The following is a 24,088-nucleotide window of genomic DNA, read 5'->3' as shown; positions in this document are numbered from 1 at the left end:
TAATACCAAATTTGTCTTCCTAAGTAATGGAAAACACTGGCTATAAATAAGAACAGAGGCAGCAGCAGCAGAGGAAACACTTGAGTAGAAGATGCCAAAAGCTATCCCTATGAATGTTTGTGGCTGTTTGTATTCTCCATTGGCAGGCCAGGCTGGCCTTCAAAAATGCTCCCAGGTCAGCTTTCATTATGGCAAGGGAACTCCATGTCTCTAAAGCTCATCTTCTGAGGTTTGTTGACCTTGGAGAACTTGGGTGTGGTCATTTATAAATAAGTTAGTGATATAGACATAATTTATAGGTCATCTTTTAATATAAAGTTAACAGGGATAGTCCATGGCACATTTTCACAAATGGTAAACAATAGGTAAGCTTTTTGAGAGGAGGGAGAATCAACCCAGATAAGGAGTTAAAACTTAAAGAAACAAATTAAATAAAAGTCTATCTTGTTATATTAAAAGGTAAAGTAAAATACTGCCTATTTCTCTTTTTTCTTTTTTTTGAGAGGGAGTCCTGCTCTGTCGCCCAGACTGGAGTGCACTGGCGCGGTCTCGGCTCACTGCAATTTCTGCCTCCTGGGTTCAAGCAATTCTCTTGCCTCAGCCTCCCAAGTAGCTAGGACTACAGGTACTACAGGCGTCCCACCATGCCTGGCTAATTTTTTTGTGTGTTTTTAGTAGAGACGGGGTTTCACAGTGTTAGCCAGGATGGTCTCAATTTCCTGACCTCATGATCTGCCCGCCTCAGCCTCCCAAAGTGCTGGGATTACAGGCGTGAACCACCACGCCCGGCCTACTGTCTATTTCTAATTAAATATCTACCATTAACGACTCACTACTTTACCTTTTAATCTAACAAGATAGACTTTTATTTAAATTGTTTCTTTAAATTTTAACTCCTTATGGGTTGACTCTCCCTCCTTTCAAAAAGCTTACCTATTGTCTCCTTACACTTAAGATTGAGTTTTAGGAAGCTTATTGTAGCAGGATGGTTGGGGAAGGAATTCTGGTACATATGCTATGCATTCTTGGTGACCTCCAGTCCTCTGTGCTGGTCCCTTGGTGATCTCCAGGACTACATGGTATGCGTGAATCCTGAGCTGAGATCTACCAATATATGCCTCATCCAGCTGGTCTTTTGGACTGTCCTACCAGTACTGATGATGAAGATTATAATCCCTAAAATTTGTATCCACTGATGGCCTCCTTATGGATCCAAATGTCAATTGCCTCATTGATTTTTTTTAGCACTGTTATGTCCCAACACTAAACATGTGGGAATTCCCAGGCCTGGCACACTATGTGTAGGCTGTGAGGATCAGGGCTCTATCTCATGCCCATGCTTATAGGCACTGCCATCTGTCATTATTCTTCCATGCCATGCTGGACATGGTAGTGAAATGTAGCATCAGTTGGCTGTTCTTAATGTCTTCCTTAACTTCTCCAGGTTTTCTTTCATAGTGTTTGTCATCTGCCCCTCTAATTTTTTCTAGATCCTTTCTTATATTATTCTCTAACACGAACTTCCCATATGAAACATCCTGTTTATACTATGCTCTGATTTATTGTCAAATCCTATACTTATATTCCTTGAGGGGATTCTAAACTATAAATATATTTGAGTTTAGAAACTCCCTTTTTTCCTCAGCAAAGATTGGTTTTCAAGAATAATTTCTAGCTATGATTCAAAGATCATTTGGGAAATCAAAATTTTAGCCTGGACTGTGTTTATTTTATTACAACAAAAACACAAATGCTCTTAAAGTAACAGATGTCTCTGACTAAGAGAAAGATCACATTCAAGAACAAAAAATAAAAAATAACATTACTATATTTCAAAAATAGTATTTGTATTATTTTAACAACAAATCATGCAAAGATTTACAACACTTCCATAGCCCTACCTAGATTTTGAAGGTTGCTCACTTTGGGATGAAGTAGTGTTTCTAAAAATGTTTTTGTTGTTCCAACTCTCCTTTTTCTTGTCAGTTGACAATAATTTATGAAATCCTACACTCACAAATTACAAATAAGACTGGGGCATTTCCTTAGGTCATGGAGCACTTTAGTGGAAAAGCCAGAGATTTTCTTTTTTATTACTTAATGACTAAAAGCAACCCACCCCAAAATGAGAATCTACTAGGGAAATTTTATAAGAAAAAATAGCAACCAAGAGTTTTTCCTAATCTTTAGAAAGCAATGGTTTGTTACAAGATTGACTATAAGTTTTGGTGCATGATGGATTTAGAAGTGTGAAACAGTTATTGCAAAATTGAAAGAATTGGCCTTATTGTTAACAATATATTCAACTGTTATGAATCTTTAGAACATATTGCAGTAGCTATCTGGCTACCCACTAGAGAAAAAGGACAAGATATTAAAGGTTTGGAGGGCAAAAATAAAAACCTAAATAATTTAGAGTTTTATTCAACACATACCTTTTTAAATAAACCTCTGGAATGTGATTACATAAAAAAACTTATACAATTTCTTTAGAACATATTCATTTCCTTTGCCAAACTCGGTTATTTTTCCTTTTCCTAGTTAACCTTGCTCCTCCAACAGACAAGAAATATGGAAACAAAACAAATATGATCTTCTAGGTTAATCATAATTATGAAAAATACTTTTGATACTGATTTCCATTTTATATCCATAAGACCTCAGATTTTGAATTTCACTTCAAAACAAAGAAACTCAACAAGAATGGCTCTTTTCATTAAACAACGGGAGAGTATTATGTTTCTCATATTTCAAATAATAAAAAGCTAGTAGTTATGAACAGCAGATCAGAGTCCTTTTAATTGTGTTAAAGAAAATGCTTTACTTTCTGCTTACATCAAAACTATAAAATTACTTCATAAAATCCAAATGCATATAACTCAACTATAACAGCTACTACATAATATTGCCCTTGTGTAATTTACGCCAAATATTTCTCAAATTATAGATTTTAATTTACCTTTTTAAATTAAATCTTACACCAAGAATATGCATCAAACATAAGATATTTGAGTAAATGTGGTATTTGAATAAATTTAATTGGATTTTATTGATGGTATGGCCTGAGCTTGAAAAAGCCCCTAATATTTCTATTTCTAATGTATTCTCCTGATAATTTGTTTGAAGGTGTATTTATAAAAGATACACTTGTGTTACCTTAAATGGTTACAGGATAAGAGACTTGGTATGTTAGAGAAATAGAGGACTTCACTCTTAGGTTACTCTTTCTGGACAGAATGCAGGACAGTCAAATAGAAACTTTCTACAGTTAGCATTTTTATAACATAGGAAATCTTAGGTTGTCATGGAGGCATTTAGGTAAATTGATTTCCATGGGCATATGCAGAACTTTCAGGTAAAAAACAGAAATTAACATAAATTGTCCAATCATTCTAATGGTGCCTTTAGATCCATATTTAGGTAAAATACGTTTGTACAGCACCAAAGCAATCTTGTAACATCCTTTCTTTTCACATAAAACTGGGGCACACTGGGGGGCCTACATGGGAAGACAAATGGAAAGAAAAAATATAAATGCTTAAATGTTTAGGAGCACATCTTCTTAAATAACCTCCACTTGTCTACTGAAGTGCCTAAGCAGTAAATGCATAAAACTGATGATGTTTATGGTGGCCATGGCACGAGAGCATAAAAACACAACAGCAGGGAATGGGTGGTCCTGGGGGAGAGAGAGATTATGGCAAGTTAAGCAAGAGAAACCTTAGATCGAACTGCCTCAGGGAGCTGAGGAGCCACATCATAAAACCAATCTGAGCCCATAATAAAATTGGAAGGAAAGTCTATCCTAAAACACTTAACATCTAAAACATATTCGAAAAACTGTTACTGAACCAAAACCAAAGCCCTTAGAAGTAAGATTCAAGCAATAGGATGCAAATAGCCTACAACTAGGGGCAGGGATAGATCAGGTAAACATTTTTGAACAGGTACTACATTGTTTAATGTATGACAGTAAGAGCAAAGATAATATTGCTCATTAGTTCACTCATTCAGCAGGTATTTATTTACTGAGTTCCTGCTGCATACCTGGTAAATTCTAGGCCTTGAGAATATATTGGCAATCAAAAAAAAAAAAAAACATTGTCCTCATGGGGATTAAACTTTAGTTGTGAGGACAGAAAATAAACAACAAAAAGGGCAGAACATGCAGTGTGCTAAGTGGTGATAGGTGCTATGGAAGAAACAAAACAAGTTGAGGATAAGAAGTACTGTGTGAAAGGAGTAAGATGCAATTTTAAATGGCATAGTCAAAGTTTTCACTGACCTGAAAAAGGTAAGCCAGTCATGCACATTTCTTTGGAAGAGAGGTCCAGACAGAAAGAATATTAGGAGTAAAATCCTGAGGCAAGAATATGTTTGGCTTGTTTCAGAAAGAACAAGAAGGCTAATATAATTGGAATGGCATAAAAGAGGTGGGAGATAAAATAGGGCTCAAGTGATACACAGTTCTGTAGACTTTTCTAAGAATGTTAACATATGCAAAAGAAGTTCTCCATATGTCTTTCGTTGTGAATGAGATGAGAGACTATTGGAAGATTTTAATAGATAACTGAGATGATATTTTTTAGGGGACCACTCTGGCTGCTAGGCAAATAACAGATTATAGGGAGGCAAAAATAGAAATAGGGAATCTAGATAGGATGATATAGCAACAATCCAAGTAAGAGAAGATGACAGCAGGTGGTGATAAAGGAGGTGATGAGAAATTATCAGATACAAAAGCAGGGTTTCCTGACTTTGGCACTACTGAAATTTTGGGGTGAATCCTTATTTTTGTTGTGGAAACTTCCTTGTGAATTGTAGGATTTTTTTCATCTTTGTAAGTTATAATTTACTTTTAAATTATTGAGGTACATATTAGTTGTATATATTTATGGGGTATATAACATGTTTTGATATAGGCATGCAAAGCATAATAATCATATCATGGAAAATGTGTATCCGTTCCTTCAAGCATTTATCCTTTGTGATACAAAAAGTCCAAGTATACTCTTTATTTTTAAATATACAATTAAATTACTGACTACAGTGACCCTCTCATGCTAGCAAATACTAAGTCTTATTCCTTTTTTCTATTTTTCTTTTGTACGCATTAACCATTCATACCCCTCTCCTCCACTCCCATTACCCTTCCCAGCCTCTGGTAACCATCCTTCTACTCTCTATCTCCATGAGTTCTATTGTTTTCATTTTTAGATCCCACAAATAAGTGAGAAAATGGGATGTTTGTTGTTCTGTGTCTGGCTTATTTCACTTAGGATATTGACCTGCAGTTCCATCTATGTTGTTGCAAATGACCATTATTCTTTTTTATGGCAGAATAGTACTCCATTGTATGTATGTACCATGTTTTTAAAATCCATTCATATGTTGATAAACACTTAGGTTACTTCCAAATTTTGGCTATTGTGAATAGTGCTGCAATAAATATGGGAGTACAGATACCTTTTTGATACACTAATGTCCTTTCTTTTGGGTGTATTGATCCAGCAGTGGGAGTGCTGGATCATATGGTAGCCCTGTTATTAGTTTTTTGAGGAACCTCCAAATTGTTCTCCATAGTGGATGTACTAATTTACATTCCCACGAACTGTGTGTGAGGGTTACCTTTTCTTCATATCCTACTCAGCATTTGTCATTGCCAATCTTTTGGATAAAATCCATTTTTACTGGGGTGACATGATATCTCATTGTAGTTTTGATTTGCATTTCTCTGATGATCAGTGATGTTGAGCAGCTTTTCATGCCTGTTTGTCATTTTTTATCTTCTTTTGAGAAATGTCTATTCAAATCTTTTGCCCATTTTAAAATCAGATTATTAGATTTTTTTCCTAGAGGGTTGTTTGAGCTCCTTATATATTCTGGTTATTAATTCCCTGTCAGGTGAGTAGTTTGCATATACTTTCTCCCATTCTTTAGGTTATCTCATTCCTTTGTTCATGATTTCCTTTGCTGTGAGGAAGCTTTTTAACTTGATGTGATCCCATTTATCCATCTTTGTATTGGTTGCCTGTGCCTGTGGGGTATTGCTCAAAAAGTCTTTGCCCACTACAATGACCTGGCAAGTTTCTCTAATGATTTCTTGTAGTAGTTTCATTGATTGAAGTCTTTGATTTAATTACTTTTATTTGATTTTTGTATATGGCGAGAGATAGCAGTTTAGTATCATTCTTCTACATATGGATATCCATTTTTCCCAGCAACATATATTGAAGAGATTATCTTTTTCCTTTATGTTCTTAGCATTTTTGTTGAAAATGAGTTCACTGTAGGTATGTGGATTCATTTCTGGGTTCTCTATTCTGTTCCATTGGTTTATATGCCTGTTTTTGTGCAAGGATCATGCTGTTTTGGTGACTATGGCTCTATAGTATAATTTGAAGCCAGGTCATGTGATTCCTCCAGTTCTGTTCTTTTTGTTCACAATAGCTGTGGCTATTCTGGGTCTTTTGTGGTTCCATGGAAATTTTAGAACGCTCTTTTCTATTTCTATAAAGACTTTGTTTGGTATTTTGATAGAGATTGCATTAAATCTGTAGGTTGTTTTGGGGTAGTATGGACATTTTAACAATATTGATTCTTCCAATCCATAAACATGGAATGTCTTTCCACTTTTTGGCGTCCTCTCCAATTTCTTTCATAAGTGGTTTACAGTTTTCATTATAGAAATCATTTACTTCTTTGGTCAAATTAATTCCTAGGTATTTAATTTTATTTGTGGTTATTGTAAATGGGGTTACTTTTTATCTTATTTTCAGATTGTTCACTGTTGTCATATAGAAATGCTACTGATTTTTGTGTGTTGATTTTGTACCTTGCAACTTTGTTCAATTTGCTTATCAGTTCTAATAGTCTTTGTGTGTTTGTGTGGAGTCTAGGTTTTTCCAAATATAAGATCATATCATCTTCAAATAAGGATAATTTGACTTCTTCCTTTCCAATTTGGATGCCCTTTATTTCTTTCTCGCACGTCATTGCTCTAGCAACTATTTCCAGTACTATGCTGAATAATAGTGGTGAAAGTGGACATCCTTGTCACGTTCTAGATTGTACAGGAAAGGCTTTCAGTTATTCTCCATTCAGTATATTAGCTGTGAGTCTGTTGTATAAGGCTTTATGTTGAGGTATATTTCTTCTATAACCAGTTTTTGAGGGTTTTAACATGAAGGGATGTTGAATGTTATCAAATGCTTTTCCAGCATCAGATGAAATGACTTTATGGTTTTTGTCCTTCATTCTGTTGATAGGATATATCACATTGATTGATTTGCATATATTTAACCATCCTTGCATCTCTAATAAATCCCACTTGGTCATACTAAATGATGTCTCTAATGTGTTGAATACAGTTCACTAGTATTTTGCTGAAGATTTTTACATCAATATTCATCAGAGTTATTGACCAGTAGTTTTTTTTTATGCATCTTTGTCTGATTTTGAAATAAGGGTAATACTAACCTATAGAATGAGTTGGGAAGTATTCCCTCATCCTCTGTTTTTCAGAATGGATTGAGTGGGATCGGTATTAGTTGTTCCTTAAATGTTTGGTAGAATTCAGCAGAGAAGCCATCAGATCCCAGGCTTTTCTTTACTGGGGGACTTTTTATTGTGGCTTTGTTCTCATTACTTTTTATTGGTCTGTTCGGGTTTTGCATTTCTTCATGGTTCATTCCTGGTAGGTTTTATGTGTCTAGGAAATTGTTCATTTCTTCTAGATTTTCCAACTTATTGGCATATAGTTTCTTATAGTAGCCACTAATGGTCCTTTGAATTGCTGCGATGTCAGTCATAACATTTCCTTTTTCATCTCTGATGTTATTTGTCTCATCTCTTTTTTTGCATAATTAGTCTAGTTAAAGATTTGTCAATTTTATTCAACTTTCAAAAACTAACTTTTGTTTATCTTTTTTTATTGTTTCATTTCAATTTTATTAATTTCAGGTATAATCTTTAAATGTCTTCTGATTATTTGGTTTTTGTTTGCTCTTCCTTTTCTAGTTTTTTAAAATGCGTCATTTGAAGCTTTTCTTCCTTTTTGATGTAGGCACTTAATAGTGACAGACTTCCCTCATAGTACTGCTTTTGCAGTATCCTGTAGGTTTTGATATGTTGTTTTAATTATCATTTGTCTCTAGAAAAATTTCAGTTTCCTTCTGAATTTCTTCATTGACCTACTGCTCATTCAGGATCATATTGTTTGATTTCCATGTATTCGCATAGTTTCTAAAATTTCTTTTTATTGATTCCTAGTTTATACCATTGTAGTCAAAGAAGATGCTTGATATTACTTCAAGTTTTTGAATGTTTTATTACTTATTTTGTGACTTAATTTATGGTCTATCCTTGAGAAAGATCCATGTGCTGAGGAAAAGAATGTGTATTATGCAGCTCTCGGATGAAACATTTTGTAAAAAATCTATTAGGTTCATTTGGTTTATAGTGCAGATTAAGGTTGATGTCTCTTTATTTTCTATATGGAAGATCTGTTTAATGCTGGAAGTGAGGTGTTGAAGTCTCCAACTGTTATCATATTCAGGTCTATCTCACTCTTTAGCTCTGATAATATTTGCTTTATATATCTTGGTGCTCCAGTGTTGGGTGCATATATATTTAAAATTGTTATATTCTCTTCCTGAATTGAGCCCTTTATCATTATATAGTGACCTTGTTTCTCCTTAGAATTTTTGTCTTGAAATCTATTTTGTCTGACATAAATATAGCTACTCCTGCTCTTTTTTAGTTTCCATTAGCATGGAATATCTTTTTCCTTCCCGTTATTTTCAGTCTGTGTGTCTTTATAGGTGAAGTGTGTTTCTTTTAGGCAACAGATGATTGGATTTTGTTTATTTAAACATTTATTTTCAGTTTGGGAGCACATGTAAAGTTTTGTTATATAGGTGAATTCGTGTCGTGGGGGATTGTCGTACTGATTACTTTATCACCCTGGTATTAAGCCTGATACCCAATAGTTACTTTTTCTGCTCCTCTCTCTCCTCCTACCCTCCATCCTGAAGTACACCCTGCTGTTTGTTGTTCCCTTCTTTCTGTTCATGAGTTCTCATCATTTAGCTTCCACTTAATGTGAGAACATATAGTATTTGGTTTCCTGTTCCTGTGTTAGTTTGCTAAGGATAATACCTTCCAGCTTCATCCATGTTTTCACAAAATACATGATATTTTTCTTTAGCCAATCTATGTCTTTTGTTTGAAGAGTTTAGTCCATTTATAATAAATGTTATTGTTGATAAGGACTTCTGCCATTTTGCTATTTTTTTTTTCTGAATGTTTTGTGGTCTTCCTTCCTTCTTCCCATCTTCCATTTAGTGAGGGTGATTTGTTCTGGTGATGATTTAATTTCTTGTTTTTATTTTTTGCGTATCAATTGTATTTTTCTCTTTTCTTGGCTTGAGAGTACTATGAGGCTTTCAAATACTATGTAACAACCCATTATTTTAAGCTGATGACAATTTAACACTGTTTATTATACAAAGAAAACTGATACAGACTCTTCTACCCCTTAATTTCCTCCCTCTGCTTTTTAACTTTTTTGTTTATATCTTACTATACTGTCTTCAAAATTTGTTGTAGTTATTTTTGATGGATTCATTATTTAGCCTTTCTACTTTAGATAGTAGTTTACACACCAAAGTTACAGTATTACAACATTCTGTTTTTCTGTGTACTTACTATTGCTAGTGAGTTTTGTACCCTCAGATGATTTCTTATTGCTCATTAACAATCTTTCCTTTCTGTTGAGGTACTCCATTTAACATTTGTTGTAGGACATGCCTGGTGTTGATGAAATCCCTCAGCTTTTGTTTGCCTGGGAAAGTCTTTATTTCTTCTTCGTGTTTGAAGATATTTTCACGTCTATACTACTCTAGGATAAAAGATTTTTCCTTCAGTACTTTAAATATGTCATGCCACTCTCCCTGACCTGGAAGGATTTCACTGAAAAGTCCGCTGACAGACATATTGGAGCGCCATTGTATATTATTTGTTTCTTTTATATTGCTGCATTTACAATCTTTGTCCTTGATCTTTGAGAATTTGATTAATAAATGCCTTGAGGTAGGCTTTTTGGGTTAAGTCTGCTTGGTAGATCTATAACCTTCTTGCATTTGAATGTTGAATTTTAAAAATTCTCTGTTATTATTTCTTTAAATAAACTTTTGATCTCTATCTCTTTCTCTGCTTTCTCTTTAAGGCCAATACCTCTTACATTTGCCCTTTTGAGGCTATTTTCTAGCTTCTGTAGCTGTGCTTCATTGCTTTTTATTTTTTTTTCTCCTCTTTGTATTATCAAATAGCCTATCTATCTTCAACCTCACTAATTCTTCTGCTTGATCAAGAGACTCTGATGCATTCTTCAGTATACAAACTGTTTTTTGCAGCTCCAGAATTTCGCTTTTTATTTATTTCAATCTCTTTGCTTAATTCATGTGATAGAATTTTGAATTTATTCTCTGTGTTATCTTGAATTCCTTTGAGTCTCTTCAGAACAGCTATTTTGACTTTTCTATCGGAAAGAGCATATGTCTGTTTCTCCAGTATTGGTCCTTGGTCCTTATTTAGTTCATTTGGTGAGGTAATGTTTTCTTGGATTGTCTTGATACTTGCAGATGTTTGTGTCTGGGCATTGAAGAGTTAGGTATTTATTGTAGTTTTCATAGTCTGGGTCTGTTTGTACCCATTCTTCATGGGAAGACTTTCCAGATACTCAGAAGAAATTGAGTGTTGTGATCTAAGCCTGAACTGCTTTAGGTCTTGGACAATATCTGGGAGAATTCTCTGGATTATTGGGCAGCAACTCTTGTTCCCTTCCCTTACTTTCTCCCAAACAGATTCCGTCTCTCTGTTCTGAGCCACATGGAGCCAGAGGTAGAGTCACACAAAGCTCCCCTAAGGCCACCATCACTAGGACTGTGCTGAGTCAGACCTGAAGCCAATACAACACTTGATCTCACCCAGTGCCTGTAGTAACTGCTCCTTGGCTACTGCCTATGTTTGTTCAAGGCCCTAGGGCTCTACTATCAGCAAGTGGCAAAGCTAGCCCAGCCTTTTTCTTTCTCTTTGGGGGAGCAAGTTTCCCCAGACCCCAGGTAGGACCAGAGGTGCTATCAGGGAGCCAGGGACTAGATTCAAAAACCTTAGAAGTCTTACTGGTATTCTGTTGTACTGCAGCTGAACTGGCACTCAAACCACAAGATTCAGTCTCTCCCACTGTTCCCTCCCCTTTCCAAATGCAGAGGAGCCTTGCTCCATGGCCACCACCAGCAAAGGCCCATGGGAAATACTGCCAGACTACCAGCAGTGTTTCCTTAAGGCCTAAGAACTCTTCACTCAGCTTGTGGTGAATGCTGCCTGGCGTGGGACTCACCCTTCAGGGCAGCGGGTTCCCTTCTGGCCCAGGGCAGGTTCAGAAATGTCACCCAAGAGGCAAGACCTGGAATCAGGGACCCCAAGAGTTTGCTTGGTGCTCTACCCCTCTGTGACTGAGCTGGTACCTATGGTGCAAGATAAAATCCCTTTTACCTTTCCCTGTGCTTTTCTCAAGCAGAAGGACTCTCTCTCACCATAGACATCAAAGCTGGGAATGTGCTGAATTTCACCTGAAGTCAGCAAGTCTGTCTCACCCAAGGCCCTCAACATAGTACTTGCTTATTGCTGCTGGTTCTTCAAGGTCCAAATGCTCTTCAGTTAGCAGGTGATAAATCCTGTCAGAACTGCCTCCTTCCCTTCAAGAAAGTAAGTTCCCTTCTGGCCCAGGGTGTGTCTAGAAATGTCTTCCAGGAACTAAAGCCCAGAAAGGAGGCCTCACCACTCTGATACCCTATCCTGCTGGTATCCAAGATGCAAGACCAAGTCCTCCCCATCCTTCCCTCTCCTCACCTCAAGCAGAAGGAAGGGGTCTGTTTTAGAGCCATGAGGTGTGTAGCCTTGGATTATGGGAGGGGTGATGCCAGCACACCCTTAGCCACCCCACCTTGTTTCTCAGTAGGTTGCATGCCCCCTTCACATGGTGCGCTGGCCCTAAGTTCAGTTCAGCATTAGGACTTGCCTTGCAGTTGCTATCCTTGTGGTCTACCTTGCCTTTCAAGTTTACTTAGGGCTCCAGAGTACTTTCACCTGCTATGATGAGGCTTTTGTGGGAAGTTAAGTTCTGACCACTAAGATCTGTGATTTGCCTCTGGCTAGGGGTTGTTTGAATGCTCCCTCAGTGGCAAGGCACCCCCTGAGTTTGGTCTGGGTTTTCTTTCTGCTTTAACAGGGCAGTCCTGGATTCAGTGCCTCGCATTTGTGGTGCTCTCCCTCTCCCCATTGCAAGGAAACACTCTCTGCACCATGCTGCCCCTGCCAGGGGATGGGAGACGGATGGTGTCAGTGATTTAAGATTTCTTTCCTACCTAAGTGCCTCTTTCAGGAATATAAAGTTAAAACCAGGTACTGTGAATACTAACCTGATTTTTGTGGTTCTTATGAAGGTGCTTTTTTTGTGTAGACAGTTGTTAAATTGGTGTCTTTGTGTGAGAGACAATTGGTGGAGCCTTCTTTCTCTGCCCCAACTCCCTATAGGGTATTTAGTAGCATTCCTGGTCCATACTAATTAGATGAAAGTAGCAACTGCTTTCACCCTCATTTGTTGCAATTAAAAATATCTCCAAACATTGCCAAATGTCTTCCCAGAGGAAAAATCAACACTGGCTTAGAATGACTATTGTAGATATATTTTATAGGCAAAGCCAAAAAAAAAAAAAAAAAGGACTGGAAAGAGATGTGTCCAGTGTGATGCATTAATTGGAAGACAGTTAAACTTTTGTCACTATCAGACAAAGCAAATAATCCAGGGTGTGTTGGTGAGCATTGTTCAATGAGGTAACCCAGGAAACAGCTTTCGGGGGTGGAAGCATTGCCATACCAAATATATCTGATTTATTAGGTAGCTCACAAGAACTGAAACAAATTTTTAACTTGTAGAAAGGCCAAAGAACATATGAAGATTAAACAACATCAATTTTAAGAACACAAAGCTCAAATTGCATGCTTCACTTTCATTCCTCTCTCAATGGAGAAAACCTAGCCATATGGCTACATGAAGTGACAAGAGTTTTGCAATTTACTCTCAAGCTGGAAATACATGTAGGCAGTCAAAATGTGGGTAAAGAAAAGTCTATAACTAAATAAAAGTTTTGATAATGAGGGATAATTTGCTGTCTCTTCCAACAATGTCTTAAAATTTTTGTCTGATCAACTAAAAGAATCCTGTTTCCTTCCTAGGAAAAACTACTGGTAGAATATGTTTATCAAAGGTAGTAATGGTGCAGGGAAAGGCCAGGAGTTCAGTTTTTGAACATATTAAGTTTAAGATGCTTGTTTGACATCTAAATGGGGAGTGTTTTGAAAGAATGACCCAAATAATTTAGGATAGAGTTTTAAATTTCAGAACATGAGCTTGTGAAATGGATAAGCTCACCAAAGGGCTGTGTGTTTATGACTAAAGGATTCTAATAAGTCTTAGGATCCTCTGATGCTTCTAATTGAGGAAGATGAGAAAGAATTAACACATGAAACTGAGAAGTAGCAGTAAGTAGAATGGAAATTATTGTAGTGTCCCAGAAGCTTAGTGAAAAGTGCTTTAAGGAAAATAAAATGATCAATTATGTTAAACCCTGCTAAGTCAGTATGAAGAACTAACCATCATGATCTTAGAGCAATTTTGGTGGCATGGTGATTTTGAAAAGGAAGTAAGAGAAAATATGAAAAGAGAACTGGAAACAACTGTCATGGTTACTTATCCAAGGATTTATACTGCAATCAGAGCAGAGAAATGGAACAGATGTCTCAGGGTGGGGGTGGGGGCAGTAAAGAGGTTTTATAATCCAATAAATGCTATAAAATGTTTGAATATTCATATGAAATATCCAAAAAAGGGAAAATTTATAACTTTTGCTATTTTTCCCAGTACCTCAAAACTGAACTAGCTTGAGTTCTGTTATAAACACCATTTTATTCATTCTTTTTATTTAAAAAGTTATACGTTATAAAAATTTGTATTTTCATTTAGAAAATGAAATACATAAAACTTTTCTATTTTGAATTCTATGTAATATTATTTGAAATAGTAAGATTGACATTCCATCAATATATGCTAGCATGCCCATCAACCACTAAACATTTTCCCCTAATCTGATAATCTTTGGATCTAGCTATATGCTGCTTACAACAGACAAAATCATAAAAACACAGAAAGGATGAATGTTAAAGAATAGAAAAAGAGATAACAAACTATGCAGTCATAAAAAAGGATGCATTCATGTCCTTTGCAGGGACATGGATGAAGCTGGAAACCATCATTCTTGGCAAACTATCACAAGGACAGAAAACCAAACACTGCATGGGAGTTGAACAGTGAGAGCATGTGGACACAGGGCAGGGAACATCACACACCAGGGCCCGTTGGTGGGTAGGGGACTGGGGGAGGGGTAGCATTAGGAGAAATACCTAATATAAGTGATGAGTTGATGGGTGCAGCAAACCAACATGGCACATGTATACATATGTAACAAACTTGCACATTGTGCACATGTACCCTAGAACTTAAAAGCATAATGAAAAAAAAGATAACAAGCAAATATTAACAAAATAAAGACTGGCATAACTATATTAATATAAAAACTAAGACAAAATCCATATTGACAGATTTAAAAAGGTGAATAAATAATGAAAACAATTCAAAATGTTAGCCTCAAAAATAGATAGCAAAAATTGACTAAAATGCAAGGAAACAGACAAATGCGTCATAAAAATTTTAATAAAATACCTCAGTAATTCATAGAATATGTGTACACACACAAACTTCATCTAATGGCTATAAATGGAACACTACACCTAATAAATGAGAACATATTTTGTAAAGCACAAATGGAACATTTGTTAAGTAAAGTATTGACCACATACTATACCTGCAAATTTTAAGTGTTAAAATCTGACCACAATTAAGTTAGATATCAATATTAAAAATTGTTAAAAAAAATATTCCATTTTTTGAGAAATTTAAAAATAATATAGTTCTAAATAATATGTGGGTCAAAGAAGATAAACCAGTGACCTTTTTTGATTAAATGATGTCTATTAGTATGCTGTTTATTTAGTCTTTTTTAAACTTTTTTTTTTTTTTTTTTTTGGAGACAGAATCTTACTCTGTCAGTCACCCAGGCTGGAGTGCACTGGCACAATCTTGGCTCACTAAAACCACCACATCCAGGCTCAAGTGATCCTCCTGTCTCAGCCACTGAGTAGCTGGGATTACAGGCACACGCCACCGCACCCAGATAATTTTTGTATTTCTAGTAGATACAGGGTTTCATCATGTTGGCCAGGCTGATCTCTAACTCCTGACCTCAAGCGATCAGAACAGTTTTGAAAAATAAGAACAAATTGAGGCCAAGTGCAGTGGCTAATGCCTGTAATCCCAGCACTTCGGGATGCTGAGGTGGGCAGATCACTTGAGGTCAGGAGTTTGAGACCAGCCTGGCTAACATGGTGCGGTGGCTCACACTTGGCCATTTTTTAACATCATCTTAGAAAAGACTAATATATGTAACAAATCTGTGGCATGAATAAGAAAAAAGAAAAAAATCAACATTAGATATAAAAAATATACTAAAGACATATTTTTAAAGTAAAATAAAATAAACATAAGTAATTAGTGTTAAAAGCAAATGCTTTAGCAATAAATTTGAAAGCTTGTTACATTTTAGAATAATGCAATTTATTTCAACAGGCTCAAAAAGATATAGCAAAAAAGAATATCCTATATCTATTTAGGAAATCAATAAAAAATCCATAGGAGTGAGTTTCTCTCTCCTCCAAATGAAAATCTGGACCCATATAATTTTAGTGGTGAGTTCTTATATCCATTCAAAAAATTAATCCCAAAACAATATAAGTAAGTTCTTCTATAGAGCAGGCAATTAAGGAACAGAAAATCAATGAGGCTACTACTACTATAACTTTGATACCCAAAACAAATGAGGTAATAAGGGAGTATAAAATTATTATCCCATCTAATTTTAAAAACACAGATGGAAATAGCTCACATAAAATATTAACGCACTGAATTTTGCATAATATTAAAAAAATCATCTTGGCCAAATTGATATTTTTTTCCAGGAAATGTAGGGAAAACATTAAATACAAAGGTATCTAACATTAGAAAAATTGATGAATGCAATTCCTGGTTAAGTGACATAATTCCTAGTTGCTTTAATAAACCTTCTAGATTTTAAAATTATAGAAATGACAGACCATAGGTAAAAAGAAAGCAGTAACTACTGTGTTGGTATCATGAGTTACACTGATACAATTTATGATTTTGTAATATCCTCACGTTACAAAATACAACTGTATTTTGTAGAGAAGTTTTTAACTATGCTTACATATGAAATGGATTGTGAATTTATCTCTTGTAATTCATTGAATTTAAGTTTCAAATATACAACAGTATCACAACAGTATTTTGATATCCTGTATCCAGAAACACCTTTTTTAAAGCATTATCTATGCATGCGACAGTTGCTAAAACTCATCTGCAGAACCATGTTTGGCTGATGCTATCTTGGAAATGCTTTCCATTACCAAGCCAAGGTTTTCAAGAGGATTTGGTCTATCTATCTGAGTTTTCTTGTGCCAATTTTTGCATTTCATATATTCCCCCCAAAAATGTTTCTTTTCCACCTATCATTTTAATTATTACTATATGACTGTTAATACTATCTTTAAAATAACTTACAACTTCTGCTACTTTATAGCAATTCATTTTATATTTTCTTTTATTTTTCTGTTTATTTCTCAATCTCAAAACAATTGTCTTTTATTAATGTTTTCGAAAGTACCAAATTTATGTTGTAAAATAAGACAAAGTGTCTATTTTTCAAATGCTTTAAATTATTCAGCATTTTTGTTTTTACAAAACAAGATTGGCTGAAATGATAAGTCACATAAGTCTCTAGCATACACTTTACAAAGTAAAGTGACATAAATACCATAAAAACAGACTACAAAATGAAAACTATTATAAGGATGCTATTATTTATTCTCCAAAAAATAGGAATCATGAAACTTCATGCACTTAACATTATAGATTTGAAATAATATATACAGCTAAAACTGACAGGGACTACTAGAAAAATAATAATTATATTACAAAAATATATAAATCTAAGAAATAGACAAATCAAATAGACCTCAATTGAGCAAGAATAAAGAAGATTTAAATAACGTTCTTAAGATTTATCTGACAGATAGGCCTGTACCCAATAGAGAATATATTCTCATTTAAATGTATGTTGGACATTAATAAAAATTGACTACAATGTAAATATAAAATTCCAAAACCTTGATACATATAAGTGACATTTATGTAACAAAATCAAATAACATTTGTAATCCACAGAAAGATAGGATCTCTCATGTAAATGTAGGTCAGGGTATTGTTAGCTGATCTAGGTTAGCCTCTTTGAGGGTAACTAAAATTACTTGGTTTTGCTCCACATATTTCATTCACCAGGGAGCTAACTCAGGCATGTTCTCATTATAATAGCAGAATGTGAGAGAGTCAGAAGAAGACATGCAATGCCACTTGAGGCTAGGCTGGGAACTGATACACTGTTCATTTCTATCTTATTTTATTGGCCAAACCAAGATAAAGGTCAAACCAAGATTTAAGGGATAGGGAACTAGACTGCACACCTCTTTATTGAGAGGAGTTAGGAAGTCATATGGCAAAGGATGCATATAGGGAAGGGTAAAGAATTGAGATGATTAATACAATCATTCTTCCATGTGAAGACTAGGAAAGACAGGTAGTGTGGGTCTTAGCAACTAGTAGGTCCATGCAATGCTTGTAGAAATAATATGAGAAAGATTATCTATATGTAACTTCCCCAAAACAAATATTACACAATAGGATGGAAGATTATGGGGAAACACTTTCTTCTCTGGACAAATAACACAAAGATTTTTGTAAAGCTAAACAAATGAAAAATCCAGAATTTGTCACAAATTACAGAATACTATCTTGATAAAGCATTAACACATAGGTATTAATATGATTTCTAGTTACTCTACTAATATTTCTCTTTTCCTTTATGCTTTCCACTTACTTTTCTCTCAAAGAACAGTGAAGGAACTTTAAACATACCATGATATTTTAGTTTTTTCAGGAAAAAAGTTATTCAAACTGCTTCAGAGTATTCCATGAACAGTAACAGGTTTTCATTGTTGACATATCTATGACTTTATTAATAATAATGTTGTCCCTTCTAGGGGAAATATCTACCTTTAGCTTGGTTTCTTCATCATTTAATTAAAATCTCTGCAGCAAAAGCTTTGTGCATGGTATGGTTAGAATAGGAGAAGTACTGAATGTGCTCACTGAGTACTGTGAATCAATAAAGAATTTTAATAATGGGTGATGAATATAATAGTATCACATAATGGTTTCACTATATTTCATGACACTTCCACCTATGTATTCTTGATTAGTCTTCATTTATGCCATGCCTCAATTCAAAAAGGATTTGAAGTCTTGAATAATCTCTATTTATTAAAGTATTTGACAACATTAAGAGCCCATTGTTTTATGATTAACTACTGATATTTAACACTAGAAAGAAAGGAAAAAAGAATTGTCATTCATCCCTGTGCTATATCATAATATAAATAAAAGAATGCAAAGTGAGGTTGTGAAAAAAGTCCTAACGTAATATGAAAGAGTGTTTTTGGTTAAAATTGGGACTCTCTATACAGGAGAATTGTTAATTTCATGCCCTCTGAAATATCAAAATAAATGAATTATACTCTAGTTACATGTAAAAAATACTTTGCTTTTAGAAAAAAAATTTTAACACCCTGCATAAAAGATTAATAGATATAGCCAAGTGCATCTGGCAATGTGAGTATAGTACCTGTTCCAAATGCCAGCTGGATTTGTAATTACATCTTTGGAGAGTTTGAAGACCTGAATGGCTGCACTGGATATAGTATATATGATTTCCTGACAGCTAGTGCTACTTATCAAATATTAACTATCCTTTAAGTAGAGATACTATTTTATATATACTATATTTAACATATATATGAGAGAAGATAAATATCCTTCTATTAAATTAATTCTCATCATATAAATATAATTAAGGGGGTCTTCAAGATGTCTGACTAGAGGTATCCAGTACTTGCCTCTTCCACAAAGAGCAACCAAAATAGCAAGTCAATAATCACACTTAAAATAGCCTGAGAGAAAACACTGGAATTCAACAAAGAAATGACAGAAAACACCTGAGGCATGAATGGAAAGGGAAGCAGTGCAACCAACTTGGCTAGGATTGGCTGGCAGCCAGCAAGGCTCCCCAGTATGGGGGAAGCAGAGATACCAGCAGTCTACATTCCCACCATGGACTTTTGTGATCCTAGCCACAGAAGAGGCCCTATACCCAAATACAGGCCCTGAGATAAGTAGTATAGCAAGCTTCCTCTAGTCTATACAATGGTGTTGCTTCAAATAGGGAATTCACACTGAGTCCCACACACCTCCTGAGACCTAAACAGCTGCAGTATGTTGCCATTTTGAGAGCCCAGACATCATTCAGCTCTGGGGCCCAATGGTCCCTGCATCTGCACATCCCTGGAAACCTCCACTAACATCCTTCCATGTCCATCCAGAAGGCTATAGTGGCATGATGACAGCTGGACCCAGCAGTGTAGCAGGATTCCCCAGCGCCATAACCCTCACTGTGTCCTATACCCTAGGGAATGGTCTGTGCAGTGCCTCAGGGAGGCTGTCCTCAGGACAAAGGGAGCCAAAGTGCATACTCCCCAGAGCCTGAAAGCTGCCTGCCTGGGTCCACTGCCAATAAAAGCAACACCCACGTCCCCAGCAGCAGGGCTACAGAACATTTGTGTGTGTCGCAAAGACAGTCCCTCCCTGCCCACTGCTGCTGCTACCTGAGTATGCTGCCCAGGGTCTTAGGGATTGCCCCACCAACCACAGCCTGTAGCCATGTACACCAGTAGGGAATCTAAGAACAGGCTTACCTGGCCTGGCACCACCCTCCAGTGCCTAAGCATGACACTCTGGGACTTGGGCTTTACCCTGTCCTGTATATCATTCTGGGCATGCATGCACACCAACAGGAGGCCTAACAACAGGCCAAGAACACCTGCCGCTGGTGGCAAAGCACACCATCTGGGATACTGAGGATTTCCCTGCCACATCCAGGGCTGGCTAACCTAGCCTCCTACTGTTGCTGCCACCACTGGCACCCAGATAGATAACCTGCCTTATATTTTGCAGCCATCATCACCACCAGTAGATGCTGCTTAGGAACCTGAGGATTTTCCTGCCACTTCTACTGCCATATCCCATGCCGTGCATGTTGCCCGGGAATCCAAAAACCAAGCCCCTGCCTGGACCACTACTGCCACTGTTGGCATCTGAGAAAGCCACCTGGAGGCCTAAGAATTGGCTCACCTCAAGCTGCTAACAGTAGTGCCCACCTGGGGGCCCAAAGACAAACAGGCTTGGCCTGCCGCTGCCACTATGGGGCCAGAGGACTAGTCCACCTCATGTCTCCATCCCCACCTCAGGCTTGGAAAAGCCTCAAATCTGCCAAGAACCCTATGCCCAGTAATATGGTTTGACTGTGTTCCCACCCAAATCTCATCTTGAATTCCCATGTGTCATGGGAGGGAGCCAGTGGGAGGTAATTGAATCATGGAGATCATGGGGGTGGGTCTTTCTCATGCTGTTCTCGTGATAGTGAATAAGTATCACGAGATCTGATGGTTTTATAAAGAGGAGTTCCTCCCTACAAGTTCACTCTCTTTGCCTGCCTCCATCCATGTAAGGCCTGACTTGTTCTTCCTTGCCTTCTACCATGATTGTTGGGCCTCCCCAGCCACGTGGAACTGTAAGTCCATTAAATCTCACTTTCTTCCCAGTCCTGGGTACATCTTTATCAGCAGCATGTAAACAGACTAATATAGTAAATTGGTACCAGTAGAGTGGGACGCTGCTGAAAAGATACCCAAAAATGTGGAAGTGACATTGGAACTGGGTAACAGGCAGAGGTTGGAACAATTTGGAGGGCTCAGAATAAGACAGGAAAATGTGGGAAAGTTTGGAACTTCCTAGAAACTTGTTAAATGGCTTTGAGCAAAATGCTGATAATAAGGACAATGAAATCCAGGCTGAGGTGGTCTCAGATGGAGATGAGGAACTTGCTGGGAACTGAAGTAAAGGTGACTATTGCTATGTTTTAGCAAAGAGACTGGCAGTATTTTGCCCTGCCCTAAAGATTTGTGCAACTTTGAACTGGAGAGAGATGATTTAGGGTATCTGGAAGAAGAAATTTCTAAGCAGCAAAGCATTCAAAAGGTGACTTGAGTGCTGTTAAAGCCATTCAGTTTTATAAGAGAAGCAGAATGTTAAAGTTCAGAAAATTTGCTGCCTGACAATGTGATAGAAAAGAAAATCCCATTTTCTGAGGAGAAATTCAAGCTGGCTGCAGAAATTTATATAAGTAATGAGGAGCCAAATGTTAATCACCAAGACAATGGGGAAAATGTCTCCAGGGCATGTCAGAGGTCTTCACAGCAGGCACCCCCAACATCACAGGCCGGAGGCTTAGGAGAAAAAATTGTTTCATGGGCCAGGCCCAGGGTCTCTGTGCTGTGTGCAGTCTAGGGACTTGGTGCCCTGTGTCCCAGCAGCTCCAGCCATGGCTGAAAGGGGCAAAGGTAGAGATTGGGCCATGGCTTCAGAGGGTGCAAGCTCCAAGCCATGGCAGCTTCCATGTGGTGTTGAGCCTGCAAGTGCACAGAACTCAAGAATTGGGGTTTGGGAACCTCTGCCTAGATTTCAGAGAATGTATGGAAATGCCTGGATGTCCAGGCAGAAGTTTGCTGCCAGGGTGGGGCCTTCATGGAGAACCTCTGCTAGGGCAGTGTGGAATGGAAATGTGAGATTGAAGCCCCCACACACAGTCCCTACTGGGGCACTGCCTAGTGTAGCTGTGAAAAGAGAGGTACCGTACTCCAGACCAGAATGGTAGATCCACTGACAGCTTGCACCATGCACCTGGAAAAGCCACAGACACTCAACTCCAGCCCATGAAAGCAGCCAGGAGTGAGGCTGTACCCTGCAAAGCCACAGGGGCAGAGCTTCCCAAGACCGTGGGAACCCATCTCTTGCATTGGTGTGATCTGAATGTGAGGCCTGGAGTCAAAGGATATCATTTTGGAGCTTTCAGATTTGACTGCCCCACTGGATTTTGGACATGTATGGGGCCTGTAGCCCTCTTCTTTTGGCCAATTTCTCCCATTTGGAATGGCTGAATTTACCAAATGCCTGTACCTCCATTGTTTCTAGGAAGTAACTAACTTCCTTTTGATTTTATAGGCTCATAGGTGGAAGCGCCTTGCCTTTTCTCAGATGAGACTTTGGACCGTGGACTTTTGAGTTGATGCTGAAATGAGTTAAGACTTTGAGGGACTGTTGGGGAGGCATTATTGGTTTTGAAATATGAGGACATGGGATTTGAGAGAAGCCGGAGCAGAATAATATGGTTTGGCTCTGTCCCCACCCAAATCTCACCTTGAATTCCCATGTGCTGTGAGAGGGACTCAGTGAGGTAATTGAATCACGGAGATCATGGGGCAGCTCTTTCTTGTGCTGTTCTCATGATAGTGAATAAGTCTCATAAGATCTGATGGTTTTATAAAGAGGAGTTCTCCTGCACAAGCTCTCTCTCTTTGCCTGCCTCTATCCATGTAAGATGTGACCTGCCCCTCCTTGTTTTCCACCATGATTGTGAGGCCTCCCAGCCATGTGGAACTGTAAGTCCATTAAGCCTCATTTTCTTGCCAGTCTCAGGTACATCTTTATCAGCAGCAAAAGCATTCCCAAGAGGGACATTTATAGCAATAGAACCTACATCAACAAAGTAGAAAGATTTCAAATAAATGATCTTAAGGATGCATCTCAGGGAACTCAAAAAGCAAGAACAAACCTAACCCAAAATTAATAGGTAGAAAGAAATAGCAAAGATTCCTCTCTACCAAAGTGAACCAGAAAGAAATAAAAAATCTGAAAAGACCAATAATGATTAATGAAATTGAATCATAATCAAAAGTCTCCCAAGAAAGAAAAGCCTAGATTCTGATGCCTTCACTGCTGAATTCCATCAAACTTAAGAAGGACTACTACTAATTATTCTGAAACTATTCCCAAAAAACTGAAGAAGAGAAAATTCTCCCTAACTCATTTCATGAGGTCAGAATTACCCTGATTCTAAAACAAGACAAGGACACAACAAAAGCAACCTACAGGTCGATATCCCTGATGAACATAGATGAAAAAATTTCTTATCAAAATACTATTATACTGAATCCAACAGCATATAAAAAAGATAATACTTTCTTATCAAGTGGGATTCATCCCAGGGATAAAATGATTGATAGATCAATATCTGCAAATCAGTAAACACAATTCATCACATCAATAGAATGAAGAAGAAAACCAAATATCTCAATAGATGCAGAAAAGCATTTGATAAAACTCAATGTCTCTTCATGATAAAAACTCTCAACAAACTAGGCATATATGGATCATACCTCAACATGATAAAGGGCCATATAAAACAGACCCACAACTGACATAGTGAATGAGGAAAAGATCAAAGCTCCTTTTCTCTAAGAACTGGAAAAAAGATGAAGATGACTATTTTTGCCAGCCCTATTCAACATAGTAGTACTTGAAGTACTAGCCAGAGAAATCAGGCAAGAAAAAGACATCCAGATAGAAATAAAGGAAGTCAAATTGTCCCTCTTTGCAGATGAGTTGATCTTATATTTAGAAAAACTGGCCAGGTGCGGTGGCTCATGCCTGTAATCCCAGCACTTTGGGAGGCTGAGGTGGGCAGATCATGAGGTCAGGAGATCGAGACCATCCTGGCTAACATGGTGAAAACCCATTTCTAATAAAAATACAAAAAATTAGCCGGGCGTG

General features: G+C 37.1%; 1 long non-coding RNA gene across 3 annotated transcripts in view; it reads right to left on the bottom strand.

The window, feature by feature from the left end:
• Positions 1-24,088, bottom strand: part of LOC102723654 (uncharacterized) — a 253,720-nt gene that overhangs the window by 50,791 nt on the left and 178,841 nt on the right. The window lies entirely within an intron of this gene.

This window comes from Homo sapiens, chromosome 5 (genome assembly GCF_000001405.40).
Source record: "Homo sapiens chromosome 5, GRCh38.p14 Primary Assembly".
Classification (NCBI taxonomy): Eukaryota; Metazoa; Chordata; class Mammalia; order Primates; family Hominidae; genus Homo; species Homo sapiens.
The sequence above is the reverse complement of the archived record's forward strand: the minus strand, read 5'-3'. Positions and strand labels throughout refer to the sequence as shown.